At 39.2% G+C, this 15,536-nt stretch overlaps 1 pseudogene; it reads left to right on the forward strand.

The window, feature by feature from the left end:
* Window positions 4,290-7,737, forward strand: CDY18P (chromodomain Y-linked 18 pseudogene; annotated as a pseudogene).

Genomic DNA, 15,536 nt, shown 5'->3' on the forward strand with positions numbered 1-15,536 from the left:
ACTAAAACAAACAAATAAAAAATCTAGAAACCCAAATTAAAAGTGTAACATTTAACTTCAGCATTTGAAACAACATTTTCATGGGACAAAATTTAGATCTCCTAAATAAAAATAAACTGAGATTAGAAAACAGTTCATGCTTCACAAATAAAACTGAAACAAAATTGCAGAGCAGGCAGCGTCAAACCATTCAAAGAAATCTCAAACAAATAAAAAACCGTCTACACCCAGGAAACCAATAGTTCACCAATAGTTCACATCAACCAAGGAAACACTTAATCAAGAGAGACAATTTTAAAACAGTTAATGTTTTGGATTGTCATACTGCCTCCCAGACACAGATGAAGCCTGCAAAACTGAAATCCACATTTTCAATTTGAGGCCCTGATTCCTGATTCTAGAAGGAGTAAAACAGCCCTTATGTGCTAATTTATTGTGTTTGTTCTAGTCTTTCTAGAGAATAAACGATGAATTGATTAGTCATTTTTATTTCTGTTTTGCCAAAGTCAGAAGTCACTCTTGGTTGAAAATGCCAGGAATTGGTCACAAACATTTAGTTTCCTGAGAACCAACAATGCAGTTACTTCATATAATTGACAATCTGATAATACATATTCAGTTTTTTTAAATAATAGCTTGTATACTGCTCTTATACAAAATGCTATTTAAGTGGATACTAAGCTGCCAATAACTAAGAAGACACCTTGGAGAAATGAAGAACATTTATAACCTGTAAAATAATACACAAGCAGAAAATGTCTAGATAAAAATAAGCTAAAGAAATGTGTGTCTAACCCTCCCCCCACCAATAAAAGCTATTACTATTACCTAGCAAAGATAATTACTACTATTATGCTTATTATAGGCAGCTATTACATACAAAAAAAATACAGATTTAATTTCATGGACACTCTGTGAGTGGAGACATAGTCTGAGACAATATAATATAATTTGAGAAGAATAGAAAAGTGCAGGAGCAGAGTACCTTTATATTGTTGAACTTAGACTTTAGATTATTTAAATAAGGTAGTATTATCCAACGTAGGCTATTTTAAGTTTAGAATATTTATTGAGGTCCCAAATGTAACTAAATATAATATAAAATATATAGAAGAAGAAAGTTTTGAGAAATTAAGAAATTTTTCTGAAAGATGAAAGGAGAAATTTAAAAATTCAAATAAGGTAAAGAACATACAGAAAGCAAGTAATTAAATATCAGAGTGAATAGTTTTTTACGTTTAATAACTTTAAATGTGAGCTCCTTCATAAAAAGGCACAGAATGATGCAAATGTACCTTTAAAAGAAGGGTTCACATATGTGATTTCCCTGCAAGTGTTACCTTAAGTGCAAAGAGAGAGATTGAAAATAAAATGATACAGGTTCTTGCAAAAACGAGACAATGGATTACAGAGCACTATGCATCTGTCCCTTCAACTCTTCAATATGTGCAGTGGCAGAATCGCTATGACGCAAATAGTTTGGAATTATAGATCCTATCTGAAGTTTTGAAGCTTTCAAAACACGATTTGTAAAGTCAACAACAATTAAGTTCGATCAACTTTATAGCATAGGTCAACAGCAGTTATTTATTCCTATCAACTATTGCCGTGGTGTGCAGCCTTGCAAATACTTCTGGAGCAGCTGGCAATAGCCACGATAGGCAAAAATGACCTTATCCTCCAAATCTCAGGAGGACTGGCTAACCGATTGCTGTTTCTTATTACGGAGGTCCTGCGAGTGGTGAACAGTCATTTTTCATTTTCCAAACCTTTTACAGGCTTTTTCTCCTGCTACTCAAGTAACTTTCAGACGATTTACAAAGGCAGAGCCTTTCTTTCCTAATTTTTCTGTTTTTTTTTTTCTCTTTAGAGGCCAGAGAATGATAGAGAAAACATTCAAAGAAAACATATGTACGTGAAAATTTAGAATAAAATGTGTTGCTACACATCTGTGCTCCAAAATGATGCAGCCTCAAGAAAAACCCCCAACAAAATCAGTAAGACTGATTGTCATGACAGAAATAGCCTAGATGATGAATAAACAAATCCCTAGCAAGCTACAGAGGGAGAAAATCTGATTTTCAAAGGTACAACACTTGAAAATTTATATGCCTGTTTTCGACACCAACAGAATCACATAGCATAAGGTGAAATAAGAAAGTGTGGTTCGGCCGGGCGCGGTGGCTCACTCCTGTAATCCCAGCACTTTGGGAGGCCGAGGTGGGCGGATCCCGAGATCAGGAGATCCAGAACCATCCTGGCTAACACGGTGAAACCCCGTCTCTACTAAAAAAATTAGCCGGGCGTGGTGGCGAGCGCCTGTAGTCCCAGCTACTCTGGAGGCTGAGGCAGGAGAGTGGCGTGAACCTGGGAGGCGGAGCTTGCAGTGAGCCGAGATCTCGCCACTGCACTCCAGCCTGGGGAACAGAGCGAGACTCCCTCTCAAAAAAAAAAAAAAAAGAAAGAAAGAAAGTGTGGTTCACCCTAGAAAGAAAAAAAATCACTAACAGAAGCTTTTCCCAGGTGGCCCAAATGGCAGGCTAACTAAAAAATAACTTTTAAATTTAATGATTTTTTTAGAAAGCTAATGCAATGAAGAAAAGCACAGAAAGCCATGAATATAAAAAAATTATTAATAGACAGTAAACTTACAATAAACAAAACTTACAATAAAGTAAACTTACAGTAAAACTAAGAAGGAAATTCTAGGCCAGGTTCAGTAGTTCTCTCTCTCTCTCTCTCTCTCTCTCTCTCTAATATATCTGTCTATCTATCTAATCTATATATACATATATCTTAGACTTTAGATTATGTTAGACTTTAGTTTACATATATAGAATACATAAAAATATATTTCTATATTATATATAATATATTTTATTTAATATATAATATAAATATATATGTGTATATATGTGTGTGTGTATATATATTATATATATACCTATACATATATATCTGGAGCTGAAAAGTTAAACAACTGTCACTAAAATTTACTACAGCCTGGCACAGTGGCTCACGCCTGCAATCTTAGCACTTTCGGAGGCCAAGTCGGTTAGATCATGAGGTCAAATGATGAAGATTATCCTGGCCAATATGGTGAAACCTTGTCTTTACTAAAAAATACAAAAATTAGCAGGGTGTGGTGGCATGAGCCTGTAGTCCCAGCTACTTGAGAGGCTGAGGCAGGATAATTGTTTGAAATCAGGAGGTAGAGGTTGCAGTCAGCCAAGTTTGCCTCACTGAACTCCACCCTGGTGACAGAGCAAAACTCAATAAAAAAAAAAAAAAATCTCTACAGAGATTTAAAAGGACACTTGAGAAGATAGAAGAACAAACTATCAGCAGATCTAAGAAAAGGGCAGTTGAAATTGTTAAGTCAAGAAGGGAATAAACAAATAAATAAATAAATAAATAACTGTGAAAACAACCTAGAAACCAGTGGAACACCATCAAGCAGTCCTCCTAAAGGAGACTAAAACAGTAGTGGTCAGGAAGGTCATAAATTTGAGGAAATAAATAAACACCAAAGAAATTCAACAAACTCCAAGCAGCATAAACTCAAATACATTCAAACTTACTTGATAATTAACCTGTCTAAAACAAAAACAACTTGAAACTTGAAAATAGCAAGAGAAGTGACTGGTCATGTAAAAAGAACCCCCATGAGTAATCAGTGGATTTCTTTTCTGAAAATTCAGAGGTCAGAAAGTAGTAGACTAATATATTCCAAATGCTGTAAGAAAAAAACTTTTAACAGAAATCTCATGTTTACACTAAATGCCCATCAAAAGTGAGAGAGATATTATAAAATTCCCATGTAAAAGCTGCAGTCTTTTACCAGTAGACTACCCTTTAAGAAATGCTTTATGGTGTATTTTAGGATAAAATGAATAGACATGAAACAGCAGTGTGAATAAGTAAAGATTAAGGAAAAGATAAATATATAAATATAAAAGATAAAAAAATGCAGCAGTGTGAATAAGTAAAGATTAAGGAAAAGATAAATAAATAAATATAAAAGATAAAAAAAATGCACCTCCACAATTGGTTTTCCACATAATTAAGTCACTATTATATATTTTAGAAACTCACTAGCTTGTGTTTCTGGCATACGGTGCCTAAAGGTATAATTTTGCGAACTCAATAGGTGAAATAGAAGGGGTTGTGCTATAAACCCCCCCCCTTTTTTTATGGTAGCAAGAGTAAACTAACATGAATTTAGAAGTGTTTTAACTTTAGAATGTTTAATGTAATCATTAGAAGAGCCACAAAGGAAAAGTACCAGGCAGGTAGAAGCTTTCTGCACTATACCAGCAAATTAAGAGTAGTGGATTCAGCTGCTCTTAGCTGAGACTACATAGTGGGCCATCTTGGCACCGTAAAAGGAAGCCTGAGCTGTCCAACCATGGAGTAAATGTAGAGAGCCTAAGGGACATAGCATAGTTGCTTCTTCACACATCTCTTTCTACACCACAGGCCACAAACTGGAAGAGGCTCATCTGTACCCAAGATCTGCTGAAGCACTGGAGGCAGAATGCAGTGACTATGTAGACACTCAACTGAAAGAAAGATGACACAGCAGCTGCTTCAATACCTTCTCTTTCCTTCTAGCTTCCCAAAAGTTTCAGGTTCAAAATATTGTTGACAAAAGACAAGACAAAAATGGGAAGACATAGTATTTCATTCAGTGGAAATGCTATGACAAACAGGGTGACACAGGGCAACTGGAACAGAACTTCGTAAATTGTAAGAAATATTATGACTTTAACAGATGACAGAAAAATGGAGACAAAGGACATGGGACTGGGTGTGATGGCTGACGCCTATAATCACAGAACATTTGGAGATTGAGGCAGGCAGATTATGTGGTCATGAGTTCCAGATCAGCCTGAACAACATGGTGAAACCGCATCTCTATTAAAAATACAAACATTAGCTGAGCATGGTGGCATGCATCTGTAATCCCAGCTACTCAGGAGGCTGAGGCAGGAGAATCCCTTGAATTCAGGAGGTGGAGATTGCAGTGAGCTGAGATCGCACCACTGAACTCCAGCATGAGTGACAGAGTGGGATCCCATCTAAAAAAAAAAAAAAAAAGTCGTGGACTGGAATGAGCAGAAGTTTTTCAAACAATGCCAGAAAAGGAATGTTCGGATCTACCTACATCAGCTTTTCTAAGAACGTTTCTAAAATGCTAATGACTCGCAAACACCACACATCCAAACACAGCCAGATGTATGCTGCTGGCCACAACGTTAGGATAAATGCAGCTTTACCTTTCTTTGACCCAAAAATGTGAAGCTAGGAAGTTAACCCCTCAAGACACTTGCACTTCAGAGCCCATTTAACAGCAAGAACTCACTGAGTGGCTTTCCGGGACTCGGGAAACTGGACCCTATTGTGTCACATCAGCTGGACATGGTGGTGCACAAGATGGCAGCAGAGAAGCCCATCAGAGATTTGTCAGATTCCAGTGCAGAAGAGGCTGGAAGAAAGGATAGGTCCCAGATACACCCACTAATGTCTCTGGTGTCTGGCTCAATTATCACTTCCATGGTTACGGGCTCAGTTAACAAGGAAGGTACATTGGTATTAACGAATCCATTAACAGCCAATGGAACAAAAAACATTCATATAGCTGTTTGAAGAGGGAGAGATGGGAAAATAAAGATTATTGATGATTGAAAAAAAACAGCCTTTTATCAAAAGGATGTACTTTACACTAAGGTTAACAGAAAATGCCAGCAGATTCAGAGACATTGTGGTGAGGAAAGAGAGCTTCACTACCCAGAAATTACTATCAACTAGGTTGACAGAGAATATCTCACTAAATACAGAGCGAATGAAAGAAATTGAGAATGCCCTGAATAGGGTTTCTGTGGATGACAGCAAATTTGTGCTCCCTGCTCAGTGCAGCCAGCAGTGTCCTTTGCTGTGGTCTTGATTTTGTGTGCATTTAAGAAATGACAGAAAGAGAGCAAGCATTGAAATGGGGGACACCGCAAAGACCTGGCACATAGTTTTATTCAGTTTAAGAAACCTATTTTTGCATCAGGCAGTAGCACGGTAATTTGACTAGGTGCATCCATATTGCCTCTTTGTGATTTGCTTTGGGGCTAACAGAAAGGCTTGGCTTGAAACTTCTTTTATGACATTTGGACAGAGTTCAGGTGGCTGTTCTAACATTGCATTTCCCAAGATGCTGGGTGGAGCATCAGCCAGTGAAATGTGGTTTGGTGGGAGAAAGCTGACAGCACTGGATGCATGTGCCAAGGGCCTGGTCTCTTATGTGTCTTGGACTGAAAATTTCACACAAGAGGTTATGATCCAAATTAAAGAGCTTTCCTCTTGTAATCCAGTTGTTCTGGAGAAAGGTAAGGCCTTTGTTCGCTGTAAAATTAAAATGATGTTGGAACGGGCCAAGGAGAAAGTGTGAAATGCTGAAAAAAATTCTGGGCCTCAGCGCAAGGGATAGAATCCATGGTCAAATATGTACAAAGAAAAATTGATGAGTTCTAATTATCTGCTCAGGACCCAAGAACTGAGCTAAGCGGCATACATCGTTAGCTGCAAGATGCCCTAATCCATGTTCATAGCCCAAAACAATTTCAACCATAGATAAGGCTTGAAAGGAGACTGAAAATATCCAAGGTACTTATTTAATATTATCAATTCACTTCAAGCACTGTAACTGTAAAATAAATAATGAAACAGCTTTTTTTGTCCAAATATCATTACTTTATGCACAAGCCCAAATATAAGAGCAGACAGATGAGCATCAGACTGTTCTTGCAAGCTCTATTTTTTTTTCTTTTTCTGAGACAGAATCTCACTCTGTCACTCAAGCTAGAATGCAGTGGCATAGTCTCCACTCTCTGCAACCTCCGACTCTTGGGTTCACGCCGTTCTCCTGCCTTAGCCTCCCAAGTAGCTGGGACAACCGGTGCTTGCCACCATGCCCAGCCAATTTTTTTCTATTCTTACCAGAGACGATATTTCACCATGTTAGCTGAAATGATCTCGATCTCCTGACCTCATGATTCACCCACCTCAGCCCCCTCAAAGTGCTGGGATTACAGGTTTTGCCACCGCGCCTGGAAGAGCTCTAATTTTTATCTATGGCTACTAGTATATAAAAGACTAGAATTGTTTTTTGTTAGACTTGGATGACTGAAAGTCTGTAATAGTGTTTATTATTATTATTATTTAATTTTAAGTATCCTAGAATGCAGAGTCTAATGGGGTATGAGGCAGTTTCTGCTGCCCTCCCCTAAACAGAGACACAAAAACAACTGAGATGGTGATTTGAATTTACCAAGTCACAAATATCTCAGAGACACAAAATTCTAAACTGAACATATGGTTAGAACTTTTGCTGAGATATCAGTTGATTTGTATTTTGTTTTTTGCATAAGGCTCTAGATCTTACACTGTTAACATGAATAAAGAACTACCTCTTTAAAGGAAACCTTGAGCAGGATTAGTCAATCATGGAATCATTTAGGTAGAAATATCTAAGTTTTAATGGTCATAAAGTGTGCTTTTTAGATTAACTTAGATTATATTCTATTTAGTAAGCTAAAATTCTGCACACATGATTAAATGCAGAAACTTCCTTCAAAACAAAGGAAAAACACGTACATATTCTTAGACATTTAAAATGATTAATGTCTGGTTTTATGTGCACACAATTGTCTAGGATACTCTATAAGTTCAGATTTCCAGAAGTTCTCTGAAGCCTGCCATTTTGGGTTATTATGCAGGCTCCATTACATGGGCATGATTGAATAATCTACTGGTCCTTGGTGATCACAGTGACTTTTGTTGCAGGATCTATAGACTATCGCTTTCCCAGCCAAAAATCTCAGTGGATGGTAGCACCTTTGCCAAAATTTCTCTTGGGCCTGCTGGGCTAAATTTGCCACTCATTTTGACAGGTTGCACTCACCTCAAACTATGTGCTCAGATTCTATTTTTACTGTGGGTGAGACAGACCCAGAGCAGAGAGAGAAGCCTGAGTGAGCGACTGTTGAGTCCAGCCACTTCACACAGCTGAGCATGTTGGCTATGATAAGGTGAGAAAGCCCAGGTGGTGCCAGCTCCCTGCAAGCCTTTGGCTGAATCAGCATAGCAAAAGCCTTTTTTTCCTCACTGCTCAGAAATACAACGGCATCCAGAAGCTTAAAAATGCCAGAAACTGCAAAGCCCCCAAAATGGTGTCACAGCCCTGGCTTTGAAAATGTTTAAGTCTGGGCTCCTTTAAGGACTGAACCTCTTCTATCCTTTTTTATTTTTTAAATCCCAGTAATCAGAAATGTGACAAGTGGGGGTTTGTGTGTTTCAGACCAGTTTTTGTTACTAATCTTATAGTTTTGCCCTTAAGTGGGTTCTGAGTTCTTGTCCCATGCCTAGGAAGAATAAGCTTTGTGGGCAACTGGAGAATAATTAAGGTAAATAGAAGCTGCACTGAGTGAAGGTACAGCTCTCAGGAGACAGAAAGGAGGTAACTCCATTTCACAAACAGGACATACCTACAACCACACAACACTCAGTTAAGAGAATACCTAGAGTGACCAAGTGCCATTGGCTGACAGGTTGCTACAATGTCTCTGAAGCCCTCAGTGGAGAGGAGATTTTTTAGAGTGGGTAGCTTCTATATGCAGGAAGGTTGTTGAGATGTGTCCTCAGCTTTAAGTTGAGAGAAGACAAATCTATCTGCTGACGTGCAATACCAAGAAGTGTACAACTCTCAGTGAAGAGAGGCTACTCAGGATGCTAATGCAGGAGAATCACTTGAACATGGGAGGTGGAGGTTGAAGTGAGCTGAGTTGATACCACTGCACTTCAGGCTGGTGACAGAGTGAGATTCCGTCTCAAAAATAGTAATAATTATGATTATAACTAGTTTAGAGGAAAACATAAATGTCCTGACGGAGCTAAAAAACACAGGGCAAGAACTTTGCACAACGTACCTGAGGATCAATAGCTGAATTAATCAAGCAGAAGGAAGAATATCACAGATTGAAGATAAACTTAATGAAATAAAGCATGAAGACAAGATTAGAGAAAAAAGAATGAAAAGGAAGAAACAAAGCCTCTCAGAAATATGGGATTATGTGAGAAGACCAAACCTGTGATTGATTTGTGTACCCAAAAGTGATGAAGACAATTGAACCAACTTGAAAAACAAACTTCAGGATGTTATTCAGGAGAAATTCCCCAACCTACAAAGACAGGCCAATGTACACATTCAGGAAATATAGAGAACACCACTGAGATACTTCATGAGAAGACAACCCCCAAGACACATAACTGGCAGATTCTCCAAGGTAGAAAAAAAGGAAAAAAAAATGTTTAGAGCAGCCAGAGAGAAAGATCAGGTTATCTACAAAGGGAAGCCCATTAGACTAACAGCAGATAATTCTGCAGAAACCCTACAAGCCACAAGAGAGAGGTGGCAAATATTCACCGATCTTAAAGGAAAGAATTTTCAGACCAGAATTTTATAGCCATCCAAACTAAGCTTTATGGCCAAAGGAGAAATAAAATAATTTTCAGACAAGTTAAGTGTACAAACATTTTGTCACCACCATGAGTGCCTTACAAGAGTTCCTAAAGGGAACATTAAATATGTAAGGGGACATCTGGTAACAGCTACTGCAAAAAATAACAAATAAAAAGTCCAACAACACTATGAAGAAACTGCATCAAGAATATGCAAAATAACCAGCTAGCATCACCATATCATGGTCAAATTGACACGTAACAATATTAATCTTAAATATAAATACACTAAGTGTGCTTTATTTAGGAGACACATCTGACGTGCAAAGGCACACATAGCCTCAAAATAAAACGATGGAAGAATATTTTTTTCTTTTTTTAAATTGTACTTTATGTTTTAGGGTACATGTGCACAACGTGCAGGTTTGTTACATATGTATACATGTGCCATGTTGGTGTGCTGCACCCATTAACTCATCATTTAGCATTAGGTATAGCTCCTAATGCTATCCTTGCCCGCTCCCCCCACCCCAGAACAGTCCCCGGAGTGTGATATTCCCCTTCCTGTGTCCACATGTTCTCATTGTTCAATTCCCACCTATGAGTGAGAACATGCAGTGTTTGGTTTTTTGTTCTTGCCATAGTTTGCTGAGAATGATGGTTTCCAGTTTCATCCATGTCCCTACAAAGGACATGAACTCATCATTTTTTATGGCTGCCTAGTATTCCATAGTGTATATGTGCCACATTTTCTTAATCCAGTCTGTCGTTGTTAGACATTTAGGTTGGTTCCAAGTCTTTGCTATTGTGAATTGTGCCGCGATAAATATACGTTGGTTGTGTCTTTATAGCAGCATGATTTGTAATCCTTTGGGTATATACCCAGTAATGGGATGGCTGGGTCAAATGGGATTTCTAGTTCTAGATCCTTGAGGAATCGCCACACTGACTTGTACAATGGCCGAACTAGTTGACAGTCCCACCAACAGTGTAAAAGTGTTCCTATTTCTCCACATCCTCTCCAGCACCTGTTGTTTCCTGCCTTTTTCATGATCGCCATTCTAACTGGTGTGAGATGGTGTCTCACTGTGGTTTTGATTTGCATTTCTCTGATGGCCAGTGATGATGAGCATTTTTTCATGTGTTTTTTGGCTGCATGAATGTGTTCTTTTGAGAAATGTCGGCCGGGCGCGGTGGCTCACGCCTGTAATCCCAGCACTTTGGGAGGCCGAGGCGGGTGGATCATGAGGTCAGGAGATCGAGACCATCCCGGCTAAAACGGCGAAACCCCGTCTCTACTAAAAATACAAAAAATTAGCCGGGCGTAGTGGCGGGCGCCTGTAGTCCCAGCTACTTGGGAGGCTGAGGCAGGAGAATGGCATGAACCCGGGAGGCGGAGCTTGCAGTGAGCCGAGATCCCGCCACTGCACTCCAGCCTGGGCGACAGAGCGAGACTCCGTCTCAAAAAAAAAAAAAAAAAAGAAAAAGAGAAATGTCTGTTCATATCCTTCACCCACTTTTGGATGGGGTTGTTTGTTTTTTTCTTGTAAATTTGTTTGAGTTCATTGTAGAGTCTGGATATTAGCCCTTTGTCAGACGGGTAGATTGCAAAAATTTTCTCCCATTCTGTAGGTTGCCTGTTCACTCTGATGGTAGTTTCTTTTGCTGTGCAGAAGCTCTTTAGTTTAGTTAGATCCCATTTGTCAATTTTGGCTTTTGTTGTCATTGTGTTTGGCGTTTTGGACATGAAGTCCTTGCCCATGCCTATGTCCTGAATGGTATTGCTTAAGTTTTCTTCTAGGGTTTTTATGGTTTTAGGTCTAATATGTAAGTCTTCAATGCATCTTGAATTAATTTTTGTATAAGGTGTAAGGAAGGGCTCCAGCTACAGCTTACTACATATGGCTAACCAGTTTTCCCAGCACCATTTATTAAATAGGGATTCCTTTCCCCATTTCTTGTTTTTGTCTGGTTTGCCAAAGATCAGATAGTTGTGGATATGTGGCATTATTTCTGAGTGCCTGGTTCTCTTCCATTTGTCCACATCTCTGTTTTGGTACCAGTACCATGCTGTTTGGTTGTTGTAGCCTCGTAGCATAGTTTGAAGTCAGGTAGTATGATGCCTCCAGCTTTGTTCTTTTGACTTAGGAATGACTTGGCAATGTGGGCTCTTTTTTGGTTCCATATGAACTTTTCCATTCTGTGAAGAAAGTCATTGGTAGGTTGCTGGGGATGGCATTGAATCTATAAATTACGTTGGGCAGTATGGCCATTTTCATGATGTTGATTCTTCCTATCCATGAGCATGGCATTTTCTCCCATTTGTTTGTAACCTCTTTTATTTCATTGAGCAGTGGTTTGTAGTTCTCCTTGAAGAGGCCCTTCACATCCCTTGTAAGTTGGATTCCTAGGTATTTTATTCTCTTTGAAGCAATTGTGAATGGGAGTTCACTCATGATTTAGCTCTCTGTTTGTCTGTTATTGGTATATCAGAATGCTTGTGATTTTTTGCACATTGATTTTGTATCCTGAGACTTTGCTGAAGTTGCTTATAAGCGTAAGGAGATTTTGGGCTGAGATTATGGGGTTTTCTAAACATACAATCATGTCATCTGCAAACAGGGAGAATTTGACTTCCTCTTTTACTAATTGAATACCCTTTGTTTACTTCTCCTGCCTGATTGCCCAGGCCAGAACTTCCAACACTATGTTGAATAGGAATGGTGAGAGAGGGCATCCCTGTCTTGTGCCAGTTTTCAAAGGGAATGCTTCCAGTTTTTTCCCATTCAGTATGACAGTGGCTGTGCATTTGTCATGGATATCCCATCCATAACTAATTTATTGAGAGTTTTTAGCATGAACTGCTGTTGAATTTTGTCAAAGGCCCTTTCTGCATCTATTGAGATAATAATGTGGTTTTTGTCATTGGTTCTGTTTATATGCTGGATTATGTTTATTGATTTGCATATGTTGAACCAGCTTTGCATCCCAGGGATGAAGCCTACTTGATCACGGTGGGTAAGCTTTTAGACGTGCTGCTGGGTTCGGTTTGCCAGTTTTTTATTGACGATTCTTGCATTGATGTTCATCAGGGATTTTGGTCTAAAATTCTCTATTTTTGCTGTGTCTCTGCCAGGCTTTGGTATCAGGATGATGCTGGCCTCATAAAATGAGTTAGAGAGGACTCCCTCTTCTTCTATTGATTGGACTCTTTTCAGAAGGAATGGTACCAGGTCCACCTTGTACGTCTGGTAGAATTCGGATGTGAATCCATCTGGTCCTGGACTTTTTTTTGCAATATTACTTATTGCCTGAATTTCAGAGCCTGTTACTTTTCTATTCAGAGATCCAACTTCTTCCTGGTTTAGTCTTGGGACGGTGTATGTGTCAAGGAATTTATCCATTTCTTCTAGGTTTTCTACTTCATTTGTGTAGAGGTGTTTATAGTATTCTCTGATGGTAGTTTGTATTTCTGTGGGATCGGTGGTGATATCCCTTTTGTCATTTTTTATTGCGTCTATTTGATTCTTCTTTTTTCTTCTTTATTAGTCCTGCTAGCAGTCTATCAATTTTGTTGATCTTTTCAAAAAACCAGCTCCTGGATTCATTGACTTTTTGAAGGGGTTTTTGTGTCTCTATTTCTTTCAGTTCTGCTCTGATCTTAGTTATTTCTCACCTTCTGCTAGCTTTTGAATGTGTTTGGTCTTGCTTCTCTAGTTAATTGTCATGTCAGGGTGTCAATTTTAGATCTTTCCTGCTTTATTCTGTGGGCATTTAGTGCTACACATTTCCCTCTACATGCTGATTTGAACGTGTCCCAGAGATTCTGGCATATTGTATCTTTGTTCTTGTTGGTTTCAAGGAACATCTTTATTTCTGCCTTCATTTCGTTATGTACCTAGTAGTCATTCAGGAGCAGGTTGTTCAGTTTCCATGCAGTTGAGCAGTTTTGAGTGAGTTTCTTAATCCTGAGTTCTAGTTTGCTTTCACTGTGGTCTGAGAGACAGTTTGTTATAATTTCTGTTCTTTTACATTTGCTGTGGAGTGCTTTACTTCCAACTATGGGGTCAGTTTTGGAATAGGTGTGGTGTGATGCTGAAAAGAACGTATATTCTGTTGATTTGGGGTGGAGAGTTCTATAGATGTCTATTAGGTCCACTTGGTGCAGAGCTGAGTTCATTTGCTGCATATCGTTCTTAACTTTCTGTCTCGTTGATCTGTCTAATGTTGACAGTGGGGTGTTAAAGTCTCCCATTATCATTGTGTGGGAGTCTAAGTCTCTTTGTAGGTCTCTAAGGACTTGCTTTATGAATCTGGGTGCTCCTGTATTGAGTACATATATATTTAGGATAGTTAGCTCTTCTTATTGATTTGATCTCTTGATCTTTGTTGGTTTAAAGTCTGTTTTATCAGAGACTAGGATTGCAACCCTTGCCTTTTTTTGTCTTCCATTTGCTTGGTAGATCTTCCTCCATCCCTTTATTCTGAGCCCATGTGTGTCTCTGCACATCAGATGGGTTTCCTGAACAGAGCACACTGATGGGTCTTGACTCTTTTTCCAATTTGCCAGTCTGTGTCTTTTAATTGGAACATTTAGCCCATTTACATTTAAGGTTAATATTGTTATGTGTGAATTTGATTCTGTCACTTTGATGTTAGCTTGTTATTTTGCTAGTTCGTTGATGCAGTTTCTTCCTAGCCTTGAAGGTCTTTACAATTTGGTATGTCTTTGCAGTGGCTGGTACTGGTTGTTCCTTTCCATGTTTGGTGCTTCCTTTAGGAGCTCTTTTAGGGCAGGTCTGGTGATGACAAAATCTCTCAGCATTTGCTTGCCTGTAAAGGATTTTATGTCTCCTTCATTTATGATGCTTAGTTTGGCTGGATATGAAATTCTGGGTTGAAAATTCCTTTCTTTAAGAATGTTGAATATTAGCCCTCACTCTCTTGTGGCTTGTAGAGTTTCTCCAAGGGATCAGCTGTTAGTCTGATGGGCTTCCCTTTGTGGGTGACCCTACCTTCTCTCTGGCTTCCCTTAACATTTTTTCCTTCATTTCAACTTTGGTGAACCTGACAGTTATGTGTCTTGGAGTTGCTCTTCTTGAGGTGTATCTTTGTGGCGTCCTCTGTATTTCCTGAATCTGAGTGCTGGCCTGCCTGGCTAGATTTGGGAAGTTCTCCCAGATAATAGTTCCATTCTCCCCGTGACTTTCAGGTATACCAATCAGATGTCACTTTGGTCTTTTCACATAGTCCCAAATTTTTTGGAGGCTTTGTTCATTTCTTTTTATTCTTTTTTCTCTTAACTTCTCTTCTCACTTCATTTCATTCATTTAATCTTACATCACTGATACCCTTTCTTCCAGTTGATCAAATCGGCTAATGAGGCTTGTGCGTTCATCACGTAGTTCTCGTGCCATGGTTTTCAGCTCCATCAGGTCCTTTAAGGGCTTCTCTGCTTTGGTTATTCTAGTTAGCCATTCATCTAATTTTTTTTTTTCAAGGTTTTCAGCTCCTTTGCCATGGGTTCGAACTTCCTCCTTTAGCTCGGAGTAGTTTGATCATCTGAAACCTTCTTCTTTCAACACGTCAAAGTCATTCTCCATCCAGCTTTGTTCCACTGCTGGTAAGGAGCTGCGTTCATTTGGAGGAGGAGAGGTGTTCTGATTTTTAGAGTTTCCAGTTTTTCTGCTCTGTTTTTTCCCAATCTTTGTGGTTTTATCTACCTTTGGTCTTTGATGACGGTGACATACAGATGGGGTTTTGGTGTGGATGTCCTTTCTGTTTGTTAGTTTTCCTTCTAACAGTCAGGACCCTCAGCTGCAGGTCTGTTGGAGTTTGCTGGAGGTCCACTCCAGACCCTGTTTCCCTGGGTATCAGCGGCGGAGCCTGCAGAACAGCAGATATTGGTGAACAGCAAATGTTGCTGGCTGATTGTTCCTCTGGAAGTTTTGCCTCAGAGGAGTACCCAGCCATGTGAGGTGTCAGTCTGCAGCTACTGGGGGGTGCCTCCCAGTTAGGCTATGTGGGGT

This window comes from Homo sapiens, chromosome Y (assembly GCF_000001405.40).
Source record: "Homo sapiens chromosome Y, GRCh38.p14 Primary Assembly".
Lineage (NCBI taxonomy): Eukaryota > Metazoa > Chordata > Mammalia > Primates > Hominidae > Homo > Homo sapiens.